Source organism: Homo sapiens, chromosome 11 (genome assembly GCF_000001405.40).
Source record: "Homo sapiens chromosome 11, GRCh38.p14 Primary Assembly".
Taxonomy (NCBI): domain Eukaryota; kingdom Metazoa; phylum Chordata; class Mammalia; order Primates; family Hominidae; genus Homo; species Homo sapiens.
In genome coordinates this window covers 25,556,210-25,580,754 of record NC_000011.10, presented here as the reverse complement: position 1 = coordinate 25,580,754, position 24,545 = coordinate 25,556,210, and the positions used below count along the sequence as shown (strand labels likewise).

The 24,545-nt window shown below is 33.3% G+C and overlaps 1 long non-coding RNA gene across 2 annotated transcripts in view, besides 1 other annotated feature; it reads right to left on the bottom strand.

Annotated features, from left to right (window-relative positions):
• The window catches only part of LINC02699 (long intergenic non-protein coding RNA 2699), a 470,852-nt gene that overhangs the window by 343,697 nt on the left and 102,610 nt on the right, over positions 1 to 24,545 (bottom strand). The gene's annotated exons all lie outside the window — the stretch shown is intronic.
• Positions 785 to 1,438: an enhancer, noted in NCBI's record as "OCT4-NANOG hESC enhancer chr11:25600863-25601516 (GRCh37/hg19 assembly coordinates)". NCBI's record gives its function as "activates a minimal SCP1, AML or CMV promoter by ChIP-STARR-seq in primed H9 embryonic stem cells {active_cell/tissue: H9 hESC(primed)}" and the evidence as "EXISTENCE:reporter gene assay evidence [ECO:0000049][PMID:30033119]".

Below are 24,545 nucleotides of genomic sequence, written 5' to 3'. Positions count from 1 at the left end.
TCAATGCTATACTAAATAGGCATGGTGACAGTAGACATTCTTGTCTTGTTTCAGTTATTAGAGAAAAGACTTTTAACTTTTCCGCATTAAGTATGATGTTAGCTGTGGGCTTGTTATATATGGCCTTTTATTTTTTTGAGTTATGTTCCTTTTTCTGCCTAGCTTGCTGAGAGTTTTACTGTAAAAGGAATGTTGAATTTTATCAAGTGTTTTTTATGCATGTATTGAGATAATTACATGTTTTTTGTCCTTCATTCTCTCGACATAATGTATCATATTTATTGATTTGCATATTTTGAATCATCCTTGCATCCATGGTATAAATCGGACTTGATCATACTATGTGACTTTGTTGACATGCTGTTGGATTCTGTTTCCTAGTATTTTGTGGAGAATTTTTGCATCTGTGTTCACCAGATAAATTACCAGCTAGAATAACCAAGAAGTGAAGAGGAAAGACCCAAACAAACAAAATCAGAAATGAAAAAGGAGACATTACAACTGACACCACATAAATACAAAAGATAACCAGAGACTATTTTGAACAACTATATGCTAACAAACTGGAAAGCCTAGAGCAAATGAAAAAATTCCTGGAAACATACAGTGTACTAATATTTAATCAGGAAAAGATAGAAAATTTGAACAGACCAATATCAAGTAGCAAGATTGAATCAGTAATAAAAAGTCTCCCCCATCAAAAACAAACAAACAAACAAAAAACCTAGAACTGGATAAATTTGCTGCCAAATTCTGCAAAACATATGAAGAAGAACTAATACCAATCTTCCTCAAACTATTTCAAAAAATTAAAAAGCAAGAAATCATCTCTAACTCAATCTAAGAGGCCAGTATTATTTTGATACTGAAACCTACCAGGGTTATCACATTAAAAGAAAACTACAGTTTAATATTCCTGATGAACCTAGACCCTATTTGTCAGACCTCTGAGCCCAAGCTAAGCCATCATATCCCGTGATTTGCACGTACACATCCAGATGGTACACATCCAGATGGCCAGTTCCTGCCTTAACTGATGACATTCCACCACAAAAGAAATGAAAATGGCCTGTTCCTGCCTTAATTGATGACATTATCTTGTGAAATTCCTTCTCCTGGCTCATCCTGGCTCAAAAGCTCCCCTACTGAGCACCTTGTGACCCCCACTCCTGCCTGCCAGAGAACAACCCCCCTTTGACTGTAATTTTCCTTTACCTACCCAAATCCTATAAAACGGCCCCACCCCTATCTCCCTTCGCTGACTCTCTTTTCAGACTCAGCCCGCCTGTACGCAGGTGATTAAAAGCTTTATTGCTCACACAAAGCCTGTTTGGTGGTCTCTTCACACGGACACGCATGAAACTATTATATCTCTTAAGGGAAGAATCTTTTTTTTTTCTGCCTCCACATTTGCCTTCACAACTTCCTGCCAACATTATTACATTTGCATTTCTCAAATTTATCCCCTCCCTCTTTTTCAGCTACCATGTCACTTGCCAAAATGACACTATTGCTCACTTAGAATATGGCAATAGTCTTCTAATGACTCTCCCTGTCTCCAGCTTTTTTGCCCTCCCTTTTAACTACTTGCGGAATCTTTCTAAAATTCGAATCTGGTAAGTGTTTCCTTTTCTTAGACACTTTAATCAATTTGCCAGTGGCTTCATGGTACAGATTACATAACAGGCTGAGAGATAAGCCTAAGAAAGAAAAAAATTACCACACTGAATGTCCTTTTAAACATATTACAAAGAAATAAAATGTTATGCTTGGCATTTATATGCTTAATGATTTTATGGGAGAAAAATAAATGAAAGAATAGTGGATCAATAATTTCTATCTTCAAAGCGAAAATTGCCCTTAGTTTTGATAAAACTAAGTCTTAAGATGATATGAGCATCTTTCTAACTTATGCCTATATATGTGGCAAGCAAAATTTATTTCAAAATATTTTTATGATTGCTTAGTATTTGCTACTTTGGGGTCACCTTTGGGAGCAGCAAGAAAACCATTACTACTGAGAGGCGTGTTTTAAGAATAACATGTTAAAAGGAAATGGAACCAGATAGGTCTGTGTGTGTGTGTGTGTGTGTGTGTGTGTGTGTGTGTATGTGTGTGTGTGTGTGTGTGTGTTATAAACTTGACGGAGAATCAGTTAATTTTGTCTTCACATTTCTACAAATGCCTTTGAAAAGAATTCAAAGATATATGTCAGGAAATCAAGATCTATAAGTAATGTTATTATTTGATATTCATTAAGGAAGATGAACTAGTACAAATTTATTAGGATATTATTTCAGATCATTCTAGGATGCTAACCAATGCAGCAGCATCAAAATATCATAAAGTTAGTTTAGGCTGACATTTTTAACCAATTCCATAATGTACCCTAATGTTTATACACATAAACTTTAAAAAGCATATACTGACCTACAAATAAAGTATTTTAAGTTTAGAAATATGTTTTTATTTTTTGCCCTTTAAATGCCATGATGCTGACATATAGGTGAGACATCAAAATCTGCCTGAATAAAATTCTTAGATTTATGTAATACCTTGTAAATGTTCTGAATACCTTGTGCTCATTGTCATCTGCAAAATTACTCTAGTCATCTCAGGTAATTATTTAAATGTATGTATTTAGCAATATAATGGAGACAATATAAATAAAGAAATGATAGAATATAGAAAGAATGGAGTGATTAGCTAACAGCAAACAACTGGTCAGAAAGAGATGTATGGAATACTGATAACCATTATCTGGGCTAGTGAAGGGGGATTCATCTTATCAAGAAGCAAGAAAATGGTGAACATAAATAGACCTTTTCTTAGAGTCTGCTTTTGTTCCTAGGTTAAGAATATCCATTGTTCATAATGTTGGCTATAAAGTCATATACCTAGGGGCTCTTATAAAGCTCATTTCCCATAATGAAATCCAGGCCAATTAAATCAGTACCTCTGGAGATGGAACTTTGGCATGAGAATATTTACAGTTCCATAGTTATTAAAATGCATGGCACAGGTTGAGAACCACTGATCTATGATGTTTCCAGGTGTACTTATTGAGGGTTCTTGGAAAATTTTCTGCAACAGATTTCTGGCAAAGAAAATAAAAATAATAAAAAAAACCCTCTTTGCTTTAAACCTGCAGATACCGAGCAGAATACAATTTGCATTCAGATGTCTTCAAGCTCCTGGGTAGGGCCTGTTGCCATAAATGACTTTAGCATTTCCAAACAAATATGAAATATTGACAAATAACCCTTGTCCAATTATGGAGGTCCAACAGCCATAGCCTTTAAGTTGTAAAGTTTAATTAAGTCTAAGTCAGTGATTTATATGGAAATAAACAGCCTGGAGTTGAGGTTGGGGGTGGAATTCTGTTTTCTAGTATACAATGCCATTACTTTTGTAAATCTTCATTTCTTTTCTGAATAGCTTTTTATTATTTCATTTCTGATGTACCTATTGCATTTGATGCTATAATTTCTAAAGTTAAATGTACTCTGAGAATTCTGCTGTGCTTTTAAGAAAACTGCAGTCATACATAACTGATTAGATAGGTTCTCACATAAACAAGAAAATGTAGTAAGAGTTAAATTTGAGAAAACTTTTATCCTATCAAATAACCTTATTTATATCTTTTTATAGTATTACCCAGGTTCCCTAATAGTAACATAATACTGATTTTGTACATTTATCACTTGCTTTCTTGATGCTGGTCACTTCATATATTCAATATGATCATCTTAAGTTTGATCATATTCAGACTAATTTTTCAATAAGAACAGATAACTTTGTGGCATTTTAACTTATCCCAGACTCATTCCCTTCTTCCCAACTCAGCAGTAACTGTGAAATTAGCCTACATTCCTGGTACTGGAGGGGAGAGAACAGAGCTCATTCTCAAATAATGATAATTATTTGAATAAATAAATTAAGAAAAAAGACAAATTCCATATGCACATCAATTTCAAATTTCATGTAGAGGCTCTGTCCTCAAAGAGGTGGAACATAAATATAGGTTGTGCATAATGACTCATTCCCAAAAAGTACAATATGAAAAGTGGAATAAAAAAGTAACTTTGATGTAAAGAAACCAAATTATCATTACTTCAGCCACAAAACATCAAGATCAATATCCAGTCATAATAATAGTATGCACATTCAACAAAATACCCAATTCTTTAAAACTGCCAAGGTTATAAAAAATGAGGAAAGTATGTGAAAAATTTATATGGGAGAGCCGCCTAAGGAGGTAATGATGACTAAATGTAATGTGGAATCCTGGATGGTACCCTGGAGCAGAAAAAGCACAGTGAGTACAAACTAAGAAAATGTGAAAACAATATGGACTTTGTTTAGTAATAATCTGTCAACATTAGTTAATTAATTATATTAAATGCACCATCCAAATATGTTCATAGAAGGGGAATCTGAGTGTGGACTATATGGGAATTATCTATATTGTCTTTGAAATTTTTCTGTGAATGTAAAACTATTTTTTAAAATAAAATGTATTAAAATAATATTTTTCTGTGAATTAAAACTGTTTTTTAAAATAAAATGTATTAAAAACAATATTTTTCTGTGACTGTAAATCTATTTTTTAAAATAAAATGTATTAAAAATATTTCCTGTGAATGTAAAACTAAACTATTTATAAAATAAAATGTATTAAAATACTATAAAGAAAATAGTTGATGTGTATTTTATTTAAAATTTAATACTTAACTGTTTAAAGATGAACTGAAAACATATTTTTTAAATTTATATGGCCTAGATATAATCTTTGTATTTGTAAAGGCTTCTGTGATGAAAAACCCATAGAACATTCTTACATGTAAAAACCCATAGAACATTCATACATTCTTCACGTAGAATGTAATATACTGCTGTAAATCACAATTGTATTTTTCCTAGCTTATAATTGCCTCTTAGGCCAATCAAAATTTTAGGGAGACTAAAAAGCTGATGCATAATAAATACTACTGCTTTCACCATTGGGCTGATTATCTAGAATTTAGAGTTTAATAAATATATCCGTTTGTTCCCTTTTTGTTGCTTCCCCAGTGATTTTTACAGAATGCTTTATTTGTCTAGGCTTGCCTTGCTTCTCCCTGGTTCAACAGATTACATCCTCTGAAATTGTACTTAGTATGTCAAAATGTTGATTCAACCATTCTTGAAGATGGTCAGTAAACTATTTTTACTTTACTCCTACTTGGATATAGCTCATAATGATATTTTAATCAGAATCAAATTCTTAATATAACCAGATAAGTAATAAACATTGCCAAAATGCAACATTGATACCAAGTGTTTTAAATGTTTATTTTCTTTAATTTGGTATTGGGCATTACAAGAAGGTGTTAAAATGTCAAGAGTTCCTTCTCTTTTTTCATACTTTGTTTGGTCATTCATGCATCCATTCATTCACCAAGTAATCTAGTTATAAATCCTGCTACTCATTCACTCATCCATTCATCCTTTATCTTTCCACTCAGTTACTCACATATCAATCCATTTTTCATGCATCCATCCATTTGCCCGCTCACCCATCTACCAATTAATAATTTGTCCATTCATACATCTATCTTATTATGCTTTCCCGCATAAAATGATCCATCCATCCATGCAGCCACCTAATTTTATGAAAGATAATTGTTTGGCATCAGGCCAGGCAATAGAAGTAAGAAGGAGAATAATATTGAGCTTATCTAGACAAGAAAGGATTTCTCCCTTTTTGCACATTTGATCTCTTTTAGTTAGAATATTGATACATTTTTGCAAGTGCTTTACAAAAAAATCTAACCATTGTTAAGTTATTTGTCTTTTGCTCACCTAACTTATGACTCCTTAAATAAATGATCCTTAATTTGGCTGCACAGGCCAAATATAAGTATTTGAAAAAAATTACAGATATTCAGGCTTCAAACTAAATGTCCCAAATTAGAATATCCAGCTGTTTACATACATTACCAATGTTTTTAAAATATCTGTATATGGATTTTGGTGCAGAGGAAGAACTGAACACAACAAGCTCAGAGCAAGCATATGATATAATTTTCATTCAATATAGTATTTCCCCCAGCACAGTTCAGTAGAGCACTTACATATTTTAAACATTCTTAGTGTAGAATGTAAACCCTATATACTTTCAAGCTAAAGGGAAATTTAATGTCAACATACCCAAAATACGTAGAAGTATATATTTAATAAAAAATTACATTGGCATAGTGAAGAGAAGAGCAATATATTTTGGAACTGATTCGTATTTATTAAAGAAAAATACATATTAGATTTAAGAATAGAACTTTCAGCCAAGTGCAATGGCTCACGCCTGTAATCCCAGCACTTTGGGAGGCCAAGACGGGCAGATCACTAGAGGTCAGCAGTTCAAGACCAGCCTGGCCAACATGATGAAACCCAGTTTCTACTAAAAATACCAAAAAATTAGTTGGGCATGGTGGCACATGCCTGTAGTCCCAGCTACTCGGAAGGCTGAGGCAAGGAGAATTGCTTGAACCCAGAAGGCGGAGGTTGCAGTTAGCCGCAATCACGCCACTGCACTCCAGCCTGGGTGACTCGAGCGAGACTCTGTCTCAAAATAGATAAAATAAATTAAAGAAAAGAACATTATTCTCATGATTTCATGGGAAAACTCTCCATTTTTCAAGAGGTGTTTTTGAAGAAACACTTCTGAAATTATTCTTAATTTCTCACCCAAGATCAGAGGTATATTTATAAGGAGTGGGTTGCTAAGGGTCTAAAATACATTGGTCACTTTTGAATAGATAGCAGGGTTAAGGAATTAAAGAACTCTGTTTTCTCATGACCTTCTTTTATCCCGACTTTCGGAACTTTCTTCTTTATTTAGGCCACTTTCAGTGCTCTCTCTATGGAACTATTTGTCCATTCTACAAACCCAACCCTTTCTTGATCCCTGTAGCTTTAAGTAAATCTTGAAGCCAGGTTATGTCAGTTCTCCAATTTTGCTTGTTTCATTCAATATGGAGTTGGCTATTCCTTTTTTTTTTTTTTTTTTTTTTGCTTCTCCATGTAAAGCTTATAATTAGTTTGTTGAAAATCATCAAAAAAAAAGCTTTCTGAGATTTTGATTGAGATTGCACTGTCTCTATAGGGCAAACTGGGAAGAACTAACATACTGCCAATATTGAGTCTTCCTATTCGTAAACCTAGAACATCTTTCCAGTTACTTAGTTTTTTTCCTGAAGTCTTTCATCAGAGTTTTGTAGTTTTATTCACATAGATCTCATATCTTTTTTTAGATTTTATCTAAGTATTTTATTTTTTGGTGTTAATGGAAGTAGAAATACATTTTTAATTTCAAATTCTACTTGTTCACTGCTGGTACACAGAAAAGCAATTGGCTTTTGTATATTGCTCTTCTGTATTGCAATCTTGCTAGGATCACTTTTTAGTTCCAAGAGAGACATTTTGAGATGATTTTTTCAGATTTTCTGTATATATTATCATGTTATTTACATACAAATGCAGTTTTATTTGTTCCTTCTTTATGTGCATAACTTTTATTTTCCTTTCTCTCTCCCCAATCCCTCTCTTTTTCACACACACACACACACCCTTCCTTTATTTCAATAGCTGGGATTTCCAGTATAATGTTGAAAAGTAGTGAGAGGGAACACCTGGCTTTTTTCCTGATTTAGCAGAAAGCATCTAGTTTCTCAACGTTAAGTATGATGTTAATTGTATGCTTTTTATAGATTTCACTTTAATCAAATTGAGGTTCTTCTTTATTCCTAGTTTACTGAGAGTTATATGTGTGTATATATATTTATTTATAAAATATATATATTTAATATATATATTTAATATATATATTAAAAATATATATATATATTTATTTATAAAATAAATATATATATTCATGATATATAGTCATGAATGAATGGATGTTGGACTTTGTCAACTGGTTTTTATGCATCTGTTGATATTATCACATTTTTTTTCTTCTTCACCTCACTGTTCTGTCTCTCTAAGATAACTCTGAATAATACACTTTCTTAGGGGTGCTTTCTCTGACCCTTCTGATTAATTTTGTTGCCCTTTTTATACACCTCTCTGAGCACTACACTAGCTATATGTTTATTCTGGTAATTCTACTTGCAGTACTATTTTATTCATTTGATAAGTTGTGGACTGATACCTGTTTTGAGACATAAACTACTTGAGGGGAATGATGTGTATTCATTGTTTGTGAAAGATTTCACAGTATCTGCATCCAGTTGTTTCTCAATTTGCAGTTATTGAATTAATTAATAAGCATTTGTTATGTGCTGGAAATCACGCTTGAGTCTAGAGCTCCAGAAGTAATTTAAGAAAACAACTAAAAACTTTTAAAACCATGGAGGAGATATCAAATACATTGTTTGACCATAAGTGCAGAGGTAGAGGTATGCACACATTGCTAGAAATTCATAGTCATGTTAATAGGCCTCTGTATGTGCAATCAGTGTGAAATTTTGGAGTACTGGGTCTAATTGTATTTTGAATAGTGTATAAGTGTTGGCCGGTGTTTGAGGTATACCGGGGAAAACTTGAGAGCATTAGAACTGGGAGTAATGCAAGAGACATAAATATAAACTTTCAATATGATGTATAAAAAGAGAAAGGTCTCTTATCCCAAAGTTAGTATTCAGCAAGATTTTCTGTATGAGACATAAATTGAAGTTGTATAGAAGAGTAAGAATTATCTGAGTAAAGAAAATATGGAAAGGCATTTCAGGCAGAAGTGGGTGGGGACAAGAAAACATGAGCAGAAGAACAAAAATAAGAAATGTAAAATTATGTAATATTTAGGACTTTCAGTGACAAATATTTATAGCAGGTCAAGATTGATAAAGAAAGAGGCTGTCAGCAGTTCATAGGGAGCTTATATATCATTATTGAGACTAGAACTTATCTAATAGAGACTATTAAATGTACTAAGTATTTCAGAAAGGGGAACATGATAGAAACTCTCCTAGCCACAATTTGGAAAACAGCTTGGAGGCACAGAAGAATGGCAGACAGTTCTCTCAGGCAGCTGCTCTTGCAGAGATCTGGATGATGTCATGACAGTGCAGACTAGAATGGGAGAGGTACGGATGTAGAAAAGTAGTAGGGAGAAGAAAGTTACTTTGACTTTTCTCTGTAGTCATAAATTAATCACCCAATTATTACAGATACATTTTACCCCATCTTACTTATTGTAGGCTTCTACATCTCAGAATTAGATAAGTGAGATACTGTGCTTTATTACTTTCAGGTTTTTCAAATAAGAAAATGGTAATGTTGGGTAAGGGAATACATGAGAATGATGCATTTTGACATCTAACTACATTGCTAATCTCTCAGTGGCAAGTAGCTATGTTTTAGGAGAAATGTGCCTCTTGCCACTGGCATCTGGTTTACAATTTGCAAGACTTAAAGTTTTTTATTTTACCTTTATAAAGAGAAGGCACTGTCCCCCTACTTTTTTCTACAAATTCACTTTCACAAAACTGTTTTATAGATTTAACTATGCATCAAGAGTGTATCTATCCTTTTTAATGTTTAACTGAAGTCAATGAAGCCTTAGTAACTAGTGAAGTCTGAAGTTTTTATACACTGTTATATAAGGTCTTAGAGTATCTGCACATGAGTACATATTTTAGCTTTACATTCCCCTATCAGCAACTTACAGGTCAACAAAGCCATCTTTTATTATTTAAGAAATATGAACTCCTCATGCTCTATTATGCCTCTGTGCTTTGTTTATGCCATTCCCCTTACCTTAAGCATCCTTCGGCAATTCTTGCACCTGGCTAACTCAATGGTCATGACACTTCATCAAAGTCTACATTGTTTTCTTACTTTGAACATAATTTGTCTGGTTGCTTCTCTGATATATAGTGGTGGTATGGGAACAAATTTTAAATGATTATTGAGAGTATTAAATGAGGTCATGTGTGTGTACATTCTTGGCATAGTACCTGTCACATAAAAAAATTCAGCAAATGGGTGGTATTATTATATTTCTACATTCATAGAAATATTGGAGGTATATTAAATGCAGAGGCTAGGTCTTACTTATTGCATTTGCTTGGCAGATAGATGAGCTCCATCAGATTAGGGAGAATGGCATTTAATAACTGTTTATTGATTGAATACATCAACAAGATGTCATGGAAAACATTGAATACTGGCTCAGTATCAGGGTCTTACCGTTCTGTAAGTGAAGGAGGCAGATACTAAAATACTGACAATGAAAGCAGAGTGAGATAACTGAGCTTTAGAGCACTGCGAGTGCCCCGAAGTTAGGGATAAATGTATTTGCCCTAATCAAAAATAAAGATCAAATTAATAATGACAGTGAAATAAATAACAATAGCTATAAGATCAAACATTTATAAAGAACATAGTCTGTGCCCGGCATTGAGGTAAACACTTACATTATCACATTCAATCATCACAACAAGATTTATGTCAGTTTTACTGATGAAGTAGTGACCCAGATGCTAAACAAGTGTCCATAAGTCACACAACTAGTGGCAGACCCAAGATTGATATCAAGATCTTTTAAACCGTGGGACCAGAGACATTAATCATCATGCTAAAATATAAGAAGAATTGGTGCAAAACTCTAATCAAGAGAGTTTGGTAAGTTCTCCAAAACAGGGGGCCACAAATAAAGGGTAAGACTAAGGGTCTGAATGTGCTATAAGGAAAATTCTGGAAGACTTGTTATTGGGCCAAAAGGCATCTTTCATGGAAAACAGCGCACTGTTTGGTATATACTTTTCTGGGTTATTTGTTTTTTTGAAGTTTGTGATTTTCATTTTCTTTGACCTATTTTACAATTTTGTAGAGATAGAAGAAAATTTGTGGAAAACCAATAATCATGTAAATAATTCTTGAGTATAAAAATGTAATACACTCTTGTCTGGTTGAAGTTCAATTGACTTCCCTTCTTTATTATGGAAGAAGCCAATTTTGCATCTATTAAGGATGCCATTTGAGATGTGTTGAGGATTGTGTGAAACATAACAGTATGAAAACATAAGCTTATATGATAGTATTTACAGTGTGGGTACTTATCCAAAGTTTTCATTAATCCCTGTAAGCATCTTGTGTATAAATGTAATGATTAACTTTTTTAGTGCTATATAACCAAGTACTCAATAAATATCAAATGAATGGATTAATCTCTGCTCAAACCCAGAGCTATAGTAGCTGTGTAGCTATAACATTCTAGCAAGCATTCTTATATATTGTTTTCACATTTAAAATTCATAAATCACAACTATTTTCTCTCTTAGTAGAGGCAAGGAAATAATAAACAACCTTCTTATTTATTGAATTTGAAATGGAAATAAAAATGCTAGTAGTAGTTCTGGAATTCCTAACAGGAAAAAAATGCAAATTTAACCATGCCTTAAAGGTGACTTGTTAAGGAGTATGAAGGGGAATGATTTCAGAACCAATGCCACAGTGACAGGGCAATCATGTATCACTGTGTTAGAGTTGTATGGAGATTTAGCTTTTACCTTGAGATAGAGAAGGGCTATGAGACTTTCTACTCTCAGGAGATTATCTTGTGGGTACAGTTTGTGTCTCTCACATCTAAATATAAGTATATAGATCAAACCTATCTCAGGTGTGCCTGTGAAGCATCATGGAAAAGGGAAAATATATTTTACTTTTCACTCTATTTGTAATGAGTAATTAGTTTAAATCTAATGTAATGAGTTAAATTCTAAAATATAATTCTATAAAAGATAATCATGAAAAATAGAAGGGATCAATATATGATTCACTGGCCACTATGTGCCAGGCTTTGTAGTAATTTATAAACAGTATTTAGACTCTTACAACATCCCTATACAACAGTTGTTATTTTCATTCAGCTGAGATGGGTTCAAAAATAGACAAGAAATTCACTCTGTGCTAGTATGTTAAAGGCACTTGGAGATGAGAATGTAATATTGTAGACTGTCTCCAGATAACAGTCAAATAAAATATGTTAACAAATTGAATTTAGTTCTTGAGGTCTACATCTATTATTCTTCTTTAATAAGGAGACTCATATGAACCCTGTATCGAGGAAATTAAATCATGATAAAAGCCATAATGTCCTTTGTTTCTGAAAACCTAAAATATACCAGAGCCCCAGAACTTTGGATTCTACTGAATATGTTCAAGAAGTTTTTGGCTTTATTATGTTTAATTAAATAAAACAAAGAATCCTGCCTTAGGTAAACTGGGTTGATTGCTTACTTACAAAAGAAAAAACGCAAACCACATGAAAACAAAAGGACTGACACATACTTGTACATAATCCAGAGATGGAAAAGCAGAAAGATCTGAATTAAGAAGGTGTGACACATTTATTGATTGAAAAAAGGATCATTGTTTTTCTGAACTCTGAAAAAGTGGTCAGAAAATTTATTGAGAAATATGGTACGATATTTCTCTCTGATAAATAGAAAGCAATCCGTTGTTACAAGAGAAAGTAATTTCACACATTTAACTTAAAATATTTTCTTTCATATGTACAGTAAAACATTTTATAAGATATATTTATAAACATAATCACATTTGTTTCTCTCCAAAAACTCTAAAGGAAATATATTTGTCATATCCCCAGTTTACACCCAGGGATATTGATGAGCAACAAGGCTAAGAGACCTGACTATGCTAAGTTGCCAGATAACTTATGAGGCTAAGAAATAACTGAGACTTTGACCACATATATATTCCACCATACAAATTACGTTTCCTAAGCAAGAAGCAATGTCCAAATCTTCAGTAGAAAATGTTGGTTAGATATAATTAAAAATACCTATAGTTTAATCAGTAGTTTAATCAGAAAACATGACAAATGACACTGTCATGTAGTGTTAGAATTTTCTCTATATGGTTCAGCGTGCAATGCAGTCCGGGACCCACTGAGTGGGTGATTCTTAATCTACACACCACTATTAAGAATAGTTGGTGATTCTTATTAGTGGTGTGTAGAAAAACTGATTGTTGTCAAGAGGCACTAATGGCATAAAAGGGTTTTGGTGATTTATAGAAAAAGAGTAAAGAGTTTCCACACATCATATAACATAAACCAAGACAACCTAAAAATATGAGCAGCCTCAGAGCTTTTTCACATCTGCAAGTCTGGAGGTGGATGGCTATACTTGAAGGAATATGCTAGCTGAGGTTTTGAAAGGAGAGTTTACAAAATCAGTGAGAAAATGAAAAAAAAAAGATGTACTGGTGGTTGCAGTTTCAGGTCGGTTTGATTTTTCAGTTACTGCCTATGTCGGTTTTATTTTTTAGCTTCTGAATTCAGGGTATTGGCATAATCTCCATATCCTTCAATAAGAGAGAAGAGAATGTTAGGAATAAAGCCTGCAATGGCAGTCCATTAACAACAATTTGAGGAAAATAATCTTCTTAGTGTTCTAATTGGGGATCAACAAGTAATAGCAGAAACAACAGCCAACAGCACAGACATAACAATTGGTTCAGCTCACACAGTTCTAAGTTACTAATGATGAGAAGACTTTCTATTTGATGGGTGCCAAAATGATTGCACCAGATTAGCTGCAGACAAGACCAGAGCTTTCAATGAAAATTTCAAACAAGTGGAATCATGATCCTGAAGCACTTCTTCAAAGAATCATAACAGAAGATCAAATATCAGGACAGTACACTCCTGAAGACAAAGCACAAGCAAAGCGAGAACTGCCAAGAGGTGGGAGTGGGCCAGTCCGGGAACAAGTGACCTGGCCAAGAGCAAAGGTCATGGCAACAGTTTTTTGGGATGCTTAAGGCATTTTGCCTGTTGACTTCCTGGAAGGTCAAAGAATGGTAATATCTGCTTATTATGAGAGTGTTTTGAGAAAGTGAGCCAAAGCTTTAGCAGGAAAACACCCAGGAAAACCGCACAAGAGAGTCCTTCATTACCACAGCAAAGCTCTTGCTCAACCTCTCATCAGATAAGGGCAATTTTGAAAGAGTTTCAACAGGAAATCATTAGGCATTCACCTTACAGTCCAAATTTGGCTTTTTCTGACTTAATTTTGTTCTCTAATTTATTTTTAAGGGAACTCAATTTTCTTCGGTTAATAATGTAAAAAAGACTGCATTAAAAGGACTAAATTCCCAGTAACCTCAGTTCTTTAGGGGTGGAATAAATGGCTGATATCATTTTACTTACAGTAGTGTCTTGAAGTTGATAGAGCTTAAGTTGAGAAATAAAGTTCACAGTTTCAAAAGGAAGGTATGCCATAACCACTTAGGTTTCAAGGTTTGAGGACATAAAGGGAGTCCCTGCTCTCGGGAAATACAGTTGTGTGGACTCTTGGCAACTAACTGTTCACACTGGACTTGGGGTCTGTGAAGACTGGGGGACCCTTCTGTAGCAATGACTGCTGGTGTCTATGATGGTAATGAGGATTGCTAAGGGTATCCATCTCACCTTTTGCCCATAAGAAGAGTACTCTGGCTCTGATCTGATCCCAGTGAGAGAGACAATATGGCAGAGGCAGGATGCCTCACTGCCCTCTTTATTGACTATCCTGAGCTTCTGTGCTCCACAAGCATTTCACTGTTCCCTTGGCACTCTCCAGTACAATTCCTCAGATATTCTAGCCAAAATGTAGTTGTTTAATCATTGTTTTGGCACATTTTGGGGTGCCAAAGGCACCCAAAGCCAGGCAATTTAGTTGTTTATCTTGCTGATGTCACTCCATGGATCACTTTCAAATGAAGAATGTATCTCTTACTTCTGTTTTCAAAAAGACATTATGGAGTATGTAGTTTATAGTTCTGACATGTCAGAAAGAAAAAAAAAAAAACAAGAACAAAATCAAAAATCCAAGAAAACAGGATATATATAAAGACACATATATATACATATATACTTTTCTATATATTCACACAAATACATAAATTTAAAACTATGAAGTTACAAAGTATAACATGTACAATGGAGCTGAAGTTTATGAGCTGTGGAAAAATAATAAAGGGCTCACAGTTTAGACTGAATGAGTCAAAACTTTTCTAGGGAGGCACTCAGCGATGATCTTGAAATGTGAATTTTCTATTTTGAGAAACTTCCTAAGTATAAATACATGCACTCTGGTTGTGTGAAATCAAGAGTTTTCCATTATTCATTTTTCTTCAGATAGTTTACACAAGATGAAAAATCATAAAAGTATTTAACTTACTTCTAGGAAAAAATACATACGAAAAACTCTACTTTTTTTTTTTTTTTTTAATCAGGTCCAAAATAAATCTGTTTCACACTTGGTCATATTTGACAGTAGTGATCTGCATTTTTCGCCTCTGGTCCTTGCTTACATTATGCATAACACTTGTCTTTTACAAGGTTCCATGGAAGTACTTTGGTCAGTCCTCTCAAAAGCATGTTGAGAAGGAACCTCATTCTCTTTATGAGGTTGAGATATTGTCTGAAATTATCTTCAGAGAAAGAAAAGTAATATTTTGGATGCATGGGTTCAGTACTCTGTCCAGATTTCAGACTTATCATTCAAAGACAATGGTCTTTTATATCTTGCCAGATTCCTTGAAAAAAATTGGGAGAACCTATCCGGCCTGATCTTTTATTTAGACTGTGGAATCTTATGAGTAGTATACTGAGCATTTTAGACATGTTTCATTATTTGGCATTTCCTCACCCCAGTTGAAAGCTTAATCCAGATCTGATATTTATTTCCCTTTTTTGTACCAGCAACAGTATTCTATTTGTTTTTGATGCTCAAGGAAAATTTGTTAATTAAGATGGTTCTAATGCTATAGAAAGAGCTGGAAATTTAATGTCTCCAAGGAATGTTATTGTGTTGTATGAACTCACTAGCCAAAGTTGAACATCTTACATCCATATTTCAAAAACACTTAAAGCATCTATTAGCTTCTTCTGGATTTTGCTCCTGGAGAACATAAAGAAGAAACCTTGTCTGTAAATACTATGCAATAATCTTAACTGTATTTATTTCTGTAATGTCTTGGCACCCTGAACATGGAAGTGAGTTTACAACACACTGCACTGTGCTCCCCCAGTGAAGCATGAGTTTGAACCAAACAGAATAGTGGTGATGATTCTTATTTTGGTTCTTCTCACTAGGGTAAGATCTCCTTTAGCTTTAGAATCATGTTTCCTTCATACACCTGCACTTAGGAAATGTTCTCGGTGAATAGCACAAATATAGTGTTCAATAAATGTTGAATGAATGAATTAAATACACTGAAAGAGATTGTGGCCTCAGTTAAAGTCATTGTATCTAAAACACATGATTGAATTCCAAATGGCCACACTACTTGGTTGTCAGAATAAAAAAATAATAAATTATCTGCTGATTCCAGACACATTCAATAGAAGGGCATTTAAAAGGAAGCACTGGAGTGTTTAATCTATGAACACAATTTTTGGGTTGTAGAATTATTAACCAAAGATATCATGCATGTTTCTGTTTTTCTAAGTAGAATAATGAAACATATTAAATAAACATATGCAATTTTAATGGCTCAGAACTCAACTACAAATGCTAATTAATATGCTAGAATAGGGATTAGCAGAACATATTTGTAACATGCCAAACGGTAAATAATTTAATTTTTTAGGACCATATGGTCTCTGTCACAATTACTTAACTCTGATGCCATAGCACAAAAGCCAACAGGGTGAAAAGCAACAACAGGGTGAAAAATAGGCATAGCAGTGTTTCAATAAAACTTTATTTACAAAAATAGATGCCAGACCAGATTTGCTCCATAGATTCTCATCTCTGGTTCCATAATATAATAATGATATAATTGTGTATTACTGAGATTCAAAGTAAGTCTTGCACCGCCTCTAAATGTCCAATGCCTGGCTTTCAGCATCTGTGGTCCTAAATTTTATGTTTACAGTCTTGTTTTTATTTTTGTGCTTAGAGCTTCCTAGTATTACAAATATATCCATATATTTCTACAAATATATTTATTTCTATGCACAATTTTATGTGAATATTATTAAATACTTATTACAGTAATAATCACAGGTACAAAAATATATTTTAGATTTAAAAATTCAGGTTATGTGATTATCAAGAAAATAGCGTACTCCTTTACGCCAGAGCAAAAGGGGTTCCCAGTGCCTCAATAAGTTTAATTTAGGGAAAAGTAGCTCCTATCATACTCAATAACTGCTCCTTTCCACTCAAAATCTAGTTTAGCTATCACAGTGTTCTCACACATAAATCAGAATGACATGACAAAATGGTTAATCTATTTGCCAATAGCCAATCATCAAGCAATGGGTAAATTCAAAAATGCTGATCTCATATGGTCATCAAAGTCAAATTAATGGAAGCATATGATGAATATCATTTATAAAATCACATCAACAATTCTCAATTTAATTACATGATTTTCAACTAAAATAATGCTGGTAAATGTCAGTTTGATCAAACATTTAAAACTAGTTGGTGGATCTCTGTATATATTTACATATCTACATTTCGTATTCATTAAGTATAAATACTTAATTTTATTTTTAAGTTCATTAAAATGAGGGCTGTCTACTTTGATGCATACATTACTTTTATATCATAGCTATGTTCTAATATGATTTTAAACCTTCCTTTTTTCTAGCATATTTTTGGGTTTATATTGACATAAAGGCATTTAATTTTTAAAATTTCTAGTGAGAATCTTTGGTTTCATGCATGTTATAGATTTGGAGAGATCCCTACGTACTACGTACTGCATTCACTTTCATTTGAATATACTATATTGGCTTAAATAGAAAAAGGACAAAAAAAAAGGTATTTGTCTCAGCTAATACAATGATGAATTTACTGGTATTCCTTTCTGTCCATTTGTTCAGATTCCAATATAATTGGACAGCATAATTCACAGGGTTTCAGGTTAAATGTTTACAACACATTTGGATGACAAATCTGGATGGGTATAGGGAAGACCGTCAGGCCTGAACATGGAAACGTATATGGCACATTGAAATGGGCAGTGATTTTGATGCATGTCCACAGTTCACTCCAGCAGCCAGTAGTTCTAGGCAACTGTGTACACTCATACATTTCCATTAAGCCAAATGTTATTCCTGGAACTTCAAAATTAGAGCACTTCACTCTCTGGAAAGATATCCAAAAATGTATCTGATTAAAAACAGCTGCAGCTGCACCCATTGAGCCAGAAAGCTGAACTGGACTCAGGGCAGCCTCTTGTCACAACTCCTGCTGTGGTTATTCATGAGTTAGAAACACAGTCATTTTAGAGACATAGGTAGCAGAGGTGAGTGAAGAAGGGTGCTGACTTTGAAATTTTTCACTGTTGTAACATTTTCTCTCATGATTAGTGCAACACTTACTTTTTTAATTTAGAAAAAGTGTATAGTTCAATAGTGCATAGGTTTTGAGAATTTAGTTTTTACAGGTTTCTGCAATTTGTACTATTCCTTTTATCCTTTCCGAACAGCAGTTCCTAACCCTATCATATCATTTAGATGAAGCATACGTTGTGATATTTTACTTTCCTGAAAAGATACCCACACATAATATAACTTATCTATATATATAATTAAGACAATAATAACAACAAAAATAAAGCTTGCACTGTCATAAAAAATAGGTGGAAAATATTTCATAATATGTACCCTAATATGTAAATTTCAGGCACAACCCTCCAGAAAAATTAAGAAAGGCTGATGCCTATATGTGGAAGTACATAAGTAAAACCATATTAAACGTAGAATATTAAGGCTTACTGCATTGGAACTCAAATATCACAAGCAGCACTAATCTTAGTAAAGTTCTGAACAAAATAACCTAAAAAGCATATCCTAATTTCAGTTAGTAGCTGCATACCTAGACTTATGATGTATTAAACTCAAAATCTTTCTGTAAGTAGAAAATCAGTTAGGTTCTCTACTGAGATAATTGTAAGTAGTTCGTTTTATTTTATAGTATATAATTTAATGTATTTTAAGTTTATTTTGTGATTCTAAATGAAGTTCTGACAGGGCATTTAAAATTTTGGTGAGCTGTGGAATACATTTCCTTTGTATAAAACTTTCTGGGCTTTACAAAATATCCCACTTTTTTGCTCCTGCCTCTGACTCCATGGCAGTATATTTTCCAATTATTGCACAAATACTGTGACCAATGTATCACCACTAATTTTCAAAACACCTTTTATAGATGGTACCGTCTACACTAAGAAACGCAACTATAAGTAGATTTCATAGTGAGTCAACTGGTCTGCTGACAGTCTAAATTAAAATTGAAACCAATTATAAAATAGTTTCCCCAAATAACTGAAAATTTCACCTGAAATGGTTTTCTCACCTTGCTGGAAGTTTTCCTCTCATTCTTTTTTTTTAGGAAAGCTTCTATTCATTCTTTAAGAATAAATTGAGAAGACACTTCATCTTGTCAGCTTTTCCCAATGCTTTAAACCGGGCCCGTGCCCTTCATCGAGGTTATCTGAATAGATTTCACAGTTATCCTATGCACCTTTTAATGAAATAATGGTTTCCAAACCTTTCTCTTCAAATTAGCTGTAGGCAACCCATGAAGTCAGAAAAGTCTCCATAAGTTAGTGGATGTTTGACTGAAGTTGGGACTAATTGTTATTTAGTTTTCAGAAAGAGTTTAGCCATTTATCAATATTTTTCCCATTTAACTAAAAGTTTTATTGTTTTTTATTTATTTATTTATTTTACTTTGTTTGGAGCAACTTGTAAGCTGTTACTCCAATTCTTATCGCCTGATACATTCATTAGTGGTCTTCTGACTTTTAAAGTATTAATATATTCTTTGACAAATTGCATGGTTAAGTAAAAAGACAAGTTCAACTTAGAAAGGACCATATATATGGATATTTCTAAATCTGTGTATATACTTTTTGTAAAAATATATGAGAATATACATATATAATTGATTACATATAACACATATATGAGTGAATAAATATTTTTTCCAGCCCAGCAACTAAAATTTACTTTGCCTTTTGATACCAGTAAAATTATATATTTATTCATTCTTCACTCTGTTTTAGAAACTATAAATACAGATAATGATAAAAAAATGAAAAACCTTACCCTCGTGGATTTTATGTTCTAACAGGATGATGTTCGTGAAAATGTTATTGCATTGCACAATTGTACATAAATGCATTTTTATCATTTTCACTACTCACATTGATCTGATTTAAGAGGAATAGGAATATTTTGTTGGTGTGAGGAAAGGGAAAGCTGAGTGACATGTTAATTGCCTAAATTAAAATAAGTGCTGTAAAATTGTTTTCAAAATGTGGAACTCACATTAATTGTCCTGATCATCTTGCCTATTTGCTTACGATTGCAATGCCTCTTATTGAAAAAAATTATTTAAATGATTATTAGCCCAGCATTTGTTTGAACGTTGGCAAAACACTGATACTTAAGAAGATAATTTTTTCTGAATATATTAAAATTGGGCTTGAATAAACTGTGCATTATAGTTTTAAATCCAGTAGCTGTACTCACCTCCACTATTCCCAACTGGTATTTTATCCATGACCTACAGCTTTCAACTCACAGGCTTAGTTCCTCAAAAAACTGAAACTGCTTGTTTCCCTCTTGAATTATACAGAGAAGTCATTTAGAAGAGTCTTTACCAAATGGAGAAAATTGCTGTTGTTTCTACCTATCTAGCTAGCCTCTATTGTTTCTCCTTCTTGTTATCACCCCAAGATTTTTGCCAAGGGTCACATTTCTCTTCCACATTAAACCTTTTGGTGTGGGTAGTATTGACTCAACTCTCAAGACTGATGAGTAACACATGGCACATTTTTAACCAATCAAAATGCCGGTTTAGGTTCACAGCACAAGCCTGAATACCTAGTTGCGAATATGTGATATTTGATAGAATTACTAGAGAATAGTTAGAGGTTACCAGCAGAAGAAAATTTATCAATGCCCAGATCCAATAAAGGAAAAGGCAGAGTTAGGATCTGGAAAGAGAAATACTGATTAGGAACAATAACGCATGCTCGGCTACAACTATCCTTGGAGCTCTACATTTCTGGAATTTTGTTACATGTTTCTAGAACTAGCATCATTAGTCATTCACAATACTTGAGTCTTTTTATTCCACCATAAATCTTATCTGGCTTAAAAAATGTCTTGTCATGTCTTGTTGTTACTATAAGACAGAAGAGCAGATAGGAATATGCATTTGGCCAAGCTTAGGTCACATGTCCACAATGTAGCTGCCAGGAAAAGGAAAAATGAAATGTATTCCTACCACTTTCTTCTGCGTGAAAAGGCAGAACTTTCTTACCAATACCTGGGAAACATTTCTAAATAGATGTTTAGTCAAATGCTGGATAGACCAGAAGTCCCCTACAAATTATCTGAAACACAACTATAGATACTTGCAAGTCCTACCTAACCTAACATTACATATTTTCTCTTTATCATTGTAAAAAATAATCTTGCAATGATTTTAAAAATAACTGTGAGCCTCTAACTTATACCACAGTTTCAGATTATGTATTAACCATGTTCTCTTTGGAATAATTTTCTTTAGGAATTAAGAGAAAGACTGGGAGAAAAGGCTCAGGAAATCAATAAGAAATAAGTAAGATATAAGTATCTTAGTACAAGTTTAAAATCATGAGATGGGATCATAGCACTATGCATAACTGTAAAGTGAAATGATTGAACCCCAGTAATTTTTTATGGCATATTTCAGAATCATAGATTACTTATGCTTACATAAATTATAAATTATGAAAATGTGTGTATCACATTGTTTTCAGATCTAAATAAAACTTACCATTGCTCTCAGGCAGCTGTAAATATGCCATTACATTTTGTAAGTTTAATTAAATTCAAAAGGAGAGCAAAATCACCTGCAGAAGCATCCAGTTTAAAACTAGAATGTGTCATTGTTGTGTAAAGAATTTCCTATTTTAAAGGTACTAAACTGATTATACAGCAGCCACTTTATATGACTGCTTGAGCTTCACATTTAGTTAAATTTAAATATTTCATAAAATATAGACATAATTAAAAAGTAAAAAAAAAATAGATGTGGGCCTGGATGTGGTGAAAAAGGGAATATTTTTACACTGCTGGTGGGAATTTAAATTTTTAAAACCACTATGAAAAACAGCATGAAGATTTCTTAAAGAACTAAAGGTAGAACTACCATTCACTCCAGCAATCCCACTACTGGGTATGTACCTGATATGGTTTGGTTCTGTGTCCCCACCCAAATTTCATCTCAAATTGCAATCTCCACCTGTTGAAGGAGATGCTTTCCCCCCATGCTTTTCTCATGATAGTGAGTGAACTCTCATGAGACCTGATGGTTTTATAAAATGTTTCCTGCACTTGCACCCACATTCTGTTTCCTGCCACCATGTAATATGTGCCTGTTTCCTCTTCCAAAATGATTGTAAGTTTCCTGAGTCCTACCCAGCCATGCAGAACTGTGAGTTAATTACATCTCTTTTCTTTATAAATTACCCAGTCTTGGGCAGTTCTTTATACAGTGTGAGAATGGACAAATATAGTCCCCAAATGAAAATAAGTCATTTTATGAAAAATACACATGCATTTGTATGTTTATAACAACACAATTCACAGTTGCAAAGATGTGAAACTAACCTAGGTGCCCGTCAACCAATGAGTGGATAAAGAAAATGGGGTTTATATACACCATGGAATAAAAAAGGAACAAAATTATGTCTTTTGCAGCAATTGGGATGGAGCTGGAGGCCATTATTCTAAGTGAAGTAACTCAGGAATTGAAAACCAAATATAGTTTGTTCTCACTTATAAATGGGAGCTAAGCTATGAGGATGTGCATGGACTTTGTGGACTCAAGGGGAAAACTGGGAAGGGGTTGAAGGACAAAAGACTACATATTGGGTGTACGCTGCTTGGGTGATGGGTGCACTGAAATCTCAGAAATCACTGCTAAGGAACTTATAAACATAATCAAAAACTACCGGTACCCTTAAAACTACTGAAATGAAGACAAACATTTTTTAAATGGGATTTAAAAACTACATATTTTGTAAAAGGGTATATGTCCTTCAAACATGTAAGTTTTCAAGTGATAAGGAAACATGAGTCAATCATAAGATAATGCGTAGTGTATAGTGATTAATATGAAAGTGAAATGAAAATATTTTACATTGTCAATTCTTAGATACACAATTTTTTACTTAAAAATTTCTGAAATCAGGATGCGGCTTACAAAAGATAAAAAGATTTTGCCATATTTTACTCAAATTATGTGTTTATTTTGCTATTGAGTTGTTTGACTCCTTTATATATTCTGGTTATTAATTCCTTGTTAGTTGAACAGTTTGCAAACATTTTTTCCCATTCTATAGGGTTGTCTCAACTTTGTTAACTGTTTCTTTAGATGTGCAGAAACATTTTAGCTTGATTTGATGCCATTTGTCCATTTTTGTTTTGCTTGCCTGTGCCTTTAAGGTCTTACCCAAGAAATCTTTGCCCAAACCAATGTCTTAAAATGTCAATGTTCTTATATATTCTGGTTATTAATTCTTCATTAGTTGAATAGTTTGCAAATATCTTCTGCCATTCTGTAGGTTGTTGTAACTGTTAATTTTTTCCTTTGTTGTGCAGAAACATTTTAGCTTGATTTAATCCCATTTGTCTATTTTTTGCTTTGGTTGCCTGTGCTTTTGAGGTCCTACTCAAGAAATCTTTGTCCAGGCCAATATCCTGAAGCATTTCCCTAATATTTTCTTCTAGCAGTTACATAGATTAAGTTCTTGCATTTAAGTTTTTAATCCATTTAATATTTAACTAAGATGTTATATGGTGAAAAGGGGGTCTCGTTTCATTCTTCTGCATTACAGAGATCCAGTTTTCCCAACAGCATTTTTTAAAGAGGCTGATATTCCTCAGTGTAAATTCTCGGTACTTTAGTCAAAAATGTGTTCATTTTAAGTTTGTGGATTTATTTCTGAGTTCTCTATTCTGTTCCATTGGTCTATTTGTCTGTTTTTATGCTAGTACCATGCTGCAATGATTATTACAGCTTTACTATTTGAAGTCAAGTAATGGGATGTGTCTAGCTTTTTTCTTTTTGCCTATAATTACTTTGGTTGTTCTGGGTATTTTGTGGTTCTACATACATTTTATAATTGTTTTTTCTATTTATGTGAAGAATGTCATAGGTTAAGGATTGCATTGAATCTGTTGATCACCTTCAGTAGTATGAGCATTTTAACCATATTGATTCTTCCAATCCATAAACATGAGATTTCTTTCCGTTTTCTGTGTAGTCTTCAACTTATTTCATCAGTGTTTCAGAATTTTCATTGTAGACATCTTTCATGGAGAAGACCTATCAATGACCAAAAGGTATGCGAAAAAATTCTCAACAAAACTAAACATCAGAGAAATTGAAATCAAAAGTACAATGAGATATCATCTGTATTAGTCTGTTCTCACACTGCTATAAAGACATATCTTCTCTACTAAAAGTACAAAA